General features: G+C 35.5%; 1 protein-coding gene across 16 annotated transcripts in view; it reads right to left on the reverse strand.

Annotated features, from left to right (window-relative positions):
* PLA2R1 (phospholipase A2 receptor 1) overlaps positions 1-6262 on the reverse strand; it is a 138683-nt gene that overhangs the window by 103620 nt on the left and 28801 nt on the right. For all 16 annotated transcript variants that reach the window (XR_922892.4, XR_007071491.1, XR_001738672.3 and 13 more), the window contains exons 4-6: positions 5407-5580; positions 1298-1411; positions 666-809 (exon numbers count right to left, since the gene is read on the reverse strand). Coding sequence is in view for 11 of the 16 variants with exons in the window: in XM_047443729.1 (XP_047299685.1) it covers positions 666-809; positions 1298-1411; positions 5407-5580 (432 nt within the window). In the remaining 5 variants the exon portion in view is untranslated. The remainder of the gene's footprint in view (positions 1-665; positions 810-1297; positions 1412-5406; positions 5581-6262) is intronic.

Below are 6262 nucleotides of genomic sequence, written 5' to 3' on the forward strand. Positions count from 1 at the left end.
CAATTCAGCTTATTATTTTAAATCTAGAGTTTTTTCTAATTATTTTTGTAATGATTCTTTAAAAAATGGTTATACTTTTATCTCTACATTTGGAGCTAAGACATTAATTCTCAGAGAAACTAAAAAGAGGTTATAGACCTGAAAAACAGAAATAATTGGACTTCTGGTACTAGACTGTGATTAGATATTATTTAAGTATTAACTCCATCTAAAAGTTCTGCATGTAATTTCAGGGAGGAAGGTGTGTTACTAATAAGAGATTCAGAGTGTGGCAGAAAATCAATGAAGTAAATAATTATATAAAATTGTTTTCTAAATTATGTTTAATTTCTAGGGGAACAATAAACTCAAAACTAGAATAGAAAAAGAAATGTATCTTATTTCTCTAATACAGAATGACTAACAGTGCAAATTTTTTAAAAGAGAAGAAAATGTTTGCTATGCTCAGATTATTTCAGTTTTTAGTATAAACCTAAATGCATTTGTTAAAATCACAGTCCCTTTGACATAACAGATATTGTCTAGTTACACATCTTTTCATATAAATATAAACTAGATTTAGCTAAGTTTACATTATGAATTATTAGCAAAAAATAGAGAAATTTACATATATTGAGAGGACAAGTCAACAACACCTAAGAACAACTTAAAATAAAAACGCTTACCAACTATTTCATGATCAATGTGGTTTAGATATTTTTTACATATATATGGCAAGGTGGACTCACAATCCCGACTCCTCCAGGCACTTGGCATAAATGAACTAAATGTTCCACAGTGATCTTCAACAAATGGCTCAAAATTTACCTCTGAAAATACAATGAGTGTCTTTAATATTAGAAGCAAAAGCAGTTAGTTTAATATATATTGAAATGTGGTTTTCAGCATCGGGGGACAGCGTTTCTATTTGTCATATATAGTAAATCCTATAAGATGTTATCTATGATTTTGCAGTTACAGTCCAGGCATGTCAATTAAATGATTTCCCAAAGATTCCAAAAGACCCACTTTTATTATCTTAAAGTAGAGAGATATTTTGCAATTTGTAGCTATTTTTAAAACAGCAGACTGGAATCTTGGCTTACACCCAAATCCTCCTGCAACTTTGGCTAAAAAGCTTATCTTCCTGGTCCCTATTTTCTTGTTTGGAAAAGCTTGCCTTAAAGGAATTCAGTCAGGCTAAAAAATGTTTATACACTACTCTCAAAAAAGCATGTCCTATGTGCATGGGAAATGCTGCTGTGTAAGGGTGCAAGATGATGCCACGTGACGAAGGCAAAGAAAACACTGCGGGTACCTGGGCTCCAATTCAGATAGTTGAGCGGCGTTCCATCAGACCACTGCCAGCCAGCGTGTTCATCCAGCTGATTGAGGCCCATCCACACCTCCACTGTTTTACTGCTCATGTGCTCTGAAATGAAAATTATGGAGCTTCAAAAAAAAAATCCAGTGTTACACATCTTTCTTGTTCTCCTATTCCTGGATCATGGAGTCAGAAACTAATTCCAGTCAATGACGGGAAAGGTGCACAGAATGCACGTGGTGCTTCTGAGTGATAAAGCAGGCTCCCACCATCTTGAGAAACAGAGCAGGCTCACTGACAGCTGTTTTTCAACTGTGAATGCTTCATGCAAGTACCCAGAAAGGTTGCCTTTCAGGGTTGTCAATCTAGACAAGGGTGCATGGTTGCATACTTGAGGCCATCTTACTTGAGTGAGCTCATGAACTTAAAGGTTTAATAGGGTGGAGGAAGAGGTGTGCAGGGTCAGTCCCAGAAAGTGAACAGAGGCACATCTTCAAAGGTAAAACGGTGTGCTGAAGTAGATCAGGGAGGGGTGTACAGTGTGACAGCCACCAGGAGATGTCTGCTCAACAGGAGGGACCAGAGTGTCTCGGGGGATCCCTAGCAGGTTGGGACCTAAGGCTGTGTGCAGTGCAAACTGGAGGCTGCTTCCACAGCTTGAGGTGGGAGAAGTTTAATGGCAGGCTGGCTCTGTGGCCCCTCCTCTTAACCAGTCCACTACAACTTGCAGTTTAATGCAATACCATTTTTGTTATAGATACTATGAATAAAAACATGCATTGACATGCAGAAAGACATAGTTATCAAAATTAAAGAATTATGGGAATTTTTCCTCAGTTTTTCTTTTTGTGCACCTAAATTTTAAACATTATTCCAGAATAAATAGGTACTACTTATGCAGCAAAATTTCGGGGGGAAAAAAACCAAAACCTAGTGTCAGAAACATAATGAAAGTGGCAATTTTGTGATGCTTTGAAATGTTGCCATTTACTCGTTTAATCTATAAAGGAGAGCATTGTTCGCTTACAATTCACCTGATTCAGAGCCCAATTTATTTTTAGTCAGACGCAGGGGTCCTGCCTAAGATTAAGACCCTGACGGATAAGGGTTATAAACAGGGTGACCGTATGCCCCCATTTTCCTGGAAAACTCATGGTTCATGCTGGTATTTCCAGAATAATTATTAATCACAGTCCCTTTTACTATCAAAAGAATCTCAGTTTGGATGATAGACTGTATGATTACCCAGGTTGTGAAGGTCATTGTAGTCATATAACAAGGCTGCAGCATCCTCAGTGACTAGATATTTCAATACAATTGTGAAAAACTCAAAGAAACTAACCCATTTAAGAAAAGAGAAAAAGGTGCTTTATAATTTTGAGACTCCCAGAAATCAATAAACAGAAACAGCATACTATACACGGGTTTCACCCTTCCAAGTTTCTGTGGCATTCATATGGAATCTCTTTCTAATGTCTATTTGATTATTCCTTTCAATAGCACCATTCGATTGAATCGTTTAGCAGGTCTTATGATGATAAGAAGTGAAATGGATTGACAGGGCAGGGAGAAATTTTCACGTTTCACATCCAGGCAAGTGCCAAGTGATATTTTAAAATCTAGTTAAAATATTAAAACGTTAATTATTCTTATCTTAGAATTTTTTTGAATACCCATTGTGCAATTGTTTTAATAATGCAGATAAAAAATAATTGTGCAATTTATAACCTGTGTCTGAAGGCACAAAAAACCATCTATTTACCTTTAGGACTAAGCTGGCCCACGATACTGTAATAAGAAACTCGAATTTAAATTCCTTTGGATATTTCTCGGCATTCATGACAGCTTAGATAATTCCTTGTACCATAGTATATGTTCACCAGAATTAGCAAGAAACATTAGACTATTTTCATCATTAAAAAATACCTTGGTTGGAACAGGTTTCTGTCTTTATGAACAGACTTCTGTTTTTCCAAACAATTCCCAAAGACTAATTATAGAACTGAGGTAGTTAAATCAAAGTCCCTGACATGTCTTATTTTTTTAAATGGTTATTCAAATTTGATGAATAAGTCCAGACCTTCTCATGAGAAATCCTGGCAGTTAAGATAGATAATTGTAATTCATAAATGGCATGTAAACTTTTATATAAAAACCATTTCAGGCTTAAAATGATTTTGAAAATTGATGTTTTCCTGCACTATGACTTACTCAAATCAAATTCAATAATAATTTCTGACTTTTAGGGTGGGCACACATTGCTCATTCATTTCTTACAATCCTTCTGGAAGATATTAACAACTTACAAAAGCTTTTAAGTGTGCTTACTTTTCCATCCAGTGAACCCACTTCTGCAAACTTATAGAGAAATAATTGGGGATGTATGCACAAAGGTTTGTGCAGGGATGGTTTATAATACCAACTAATAAATACATAACAAAACAAATAGTTTTATCAATATCTCTAATATATTACCACTAACTTATACTACTATGTAACCATTAAAAATTATGATGTAGATCTATATTTACAGATACGGGCAAATGTTCATTAAATGCAGGTAAATAAAATAACCAGATTACCAAACTGTGTACGTAGTTGTTGTTAAATGGTTAACACACACTGAGTGTTTGTTATGTGTGCCAGGCACTTTTCTATGATTTCACCTGTATTAAAATATGTAAGCCACACCAGGAATTTGCATTGTTATTATTTCCACTTGGTAGAAGGGGAAATTGAGGCACAGAGCGGTTAAATCACTTGCTTGAGTAACCCTGCTACTTAAGTGGTAGAGGCAGGATTCAAACCCAGGCAGGTGGCTCCCTGCTCCTAACCTGAGCAGGTGGTTAAATCACTTGCTTGTATCACTGTGCAATAGCTGCCATGTTTTTATTTATTTTTATTTTTTATTTATGTATTTATGTATTTTGATATGAAGGCTCGTTCTGCCACCCAGGCTGGAGTGCAATGGCATGATCTTGGCTCACCGCATCCTCCACCTCCCAGGTTCAAGTGATTCTCCTGCCTCAGTCTCCTTAGTAGCTGGGACTACGGGTGCATGCCACCACGTCCGGCAAATTTTTGTATTTTTAGTAGAGAGAGGATTTCGCCATGTTGGCCAGGCTGGTCTTGAACTCTTGGCCTCAACTGATCCACCTGCCTTGGCCTCCCAAAGTGCTGGGATTACTGGCGTGAGCCACTGCACCTGGCTGCTGCCACGTTTTTATATAATACCATTTTTTATATATACTGTGTATGTACACATGCATTTATATGTTTTTGCAGAGAAACACAGTTGTCTCTGGATTACAGAACTATGGGAACCTTTTTATTGGTTTTTCTTTCTATATACCTGAATTTTACAAATTATTCTAAAATAAACATGGACTACATATGCAATAAAATTTGAAAAACATTGGCATCAAAAACTGTTAATGAAAGTGACTAATTTTGTGATATTTTCTAATGTTTCCACAAGTTTTTAAAGAGGTGAATGTACACACATACAAATACATTTAATCTATAAAGAAGAAGTAAGAGGAGAGTTTAGGCAATAAGCGAAACATAAGTCTTAGTTTATCGGCACAATTCTTTTAACATATTATTGTCTATACTGTTAGTTAACATATATGTGCTTTTGCTTTTCCCACTAAATTTTAAGGTTTTGTTTTTGGGACCCACCAGAAGGCCTATGATGTACCTGCACATGGTGAATGATATGTAAGATTTTGTTTAATTAATAAAATGCTTAATGATTTATTAATGGAAATGGAATGGCTAAGATCTCCAGAAGAGCAAGCAAATAGCCCTTAAATTTAGAAATCTTCCTGATCCACTTGTTAGAACTGCAACTCTCCTGGGTCCCTTGCTGTGGCCTCAAATTCTCTTCTCCAAGGAGGAGAAAATAAGAAAGACATCACTGGATGCCAAATGGAATCACTCAAGGTTCATGGAAAAATTTTGGGTGAGAGTTTTGGGCCATATTATGGAAAGAAAAATATTTTTTAAGAACTTTTTGTCAGAATATATTTTTGTATATGTGAAAACAGTTAACAACCATCTTTTATTGTATCAATATCAATGTGCGTCATCCACCTACTTACCCCTTATGAAATTTTCTTCAGTTTCATCTGTAATACTTAACAGCGTACCTCCTTGCATCTGGCATGAAGAATGTGCCTCACTCCAAGAGAGAGATGAAAGCAGGTTGAACTGGTAGCAAATGTGTGAATTGAGGTCCTTCTCCCAAATAGTATCACAACCTACTTCTGCAGAGGCTGGAAACAATGGCCATTAAAAACAACCAGGTCTTATTTTATCTATACAGCAACATATTTCTAAGGTAAGTCTGAATGGAATTATTCCATCTTGCAATCTCTAAAACTTCAGGGCCTTATCTATTCTTGATTAGGTCTTTATGATAAAATCTGCATTGTTATTCCATTGCTAAGATATGGTTAAACTCTTTCATGATTTACCTAAAGAAATATAAGAAATCACCAATGAAGAAGCTATGATCCTTTCCAGAGTAATAATAGGAACCAGTTTTAAGAGAAGGAAGTAGAAGCGAAGTATTTGTGAAAATAAGATCTAAGTTCTTTTGTCATTTAGAACTTTATATTGAAAACTTGTAACTTTAAATGTTCATTTTAGTAGATACAAATGTTATTTCAAAGGCATTTCTCCCTAAATACAAAATGCTAAAATAAAAGGATACAGTAGGAATATGAGTCAATAGTAAACACAAGTTTTCAAATAAACATCAAGCACAGGAACACTGACATATAGTTTAAGAAAGTTCTTTCAGCCAAGAGGAATAGAAGCAAGATCCACTTGTAAGACACTGGCCGAAGATTGCATAGTGTGCTCAAAAGGAAATGTAATAAAGTATGAAATGTGGAGCTGAAGTCTGAAGTTTTTTTTGAAATAACAGAAAATTAAGACTGAGTTTGGGTGCTT

The sequence above is a fragment of the Homo sapiens genome, chromosome 2 (genome assembly GCF_000001405.40).
Source record: "Homo sapiens chromosome 2, GRCh38.p14 Primary Assembly".
In the NCBI taxonomy this organism is placed as follows: Eukaryota; Metazoa; Chordata; class Mammalia; order Primates; family Hominidae; genus Homo; species Homo sapiens.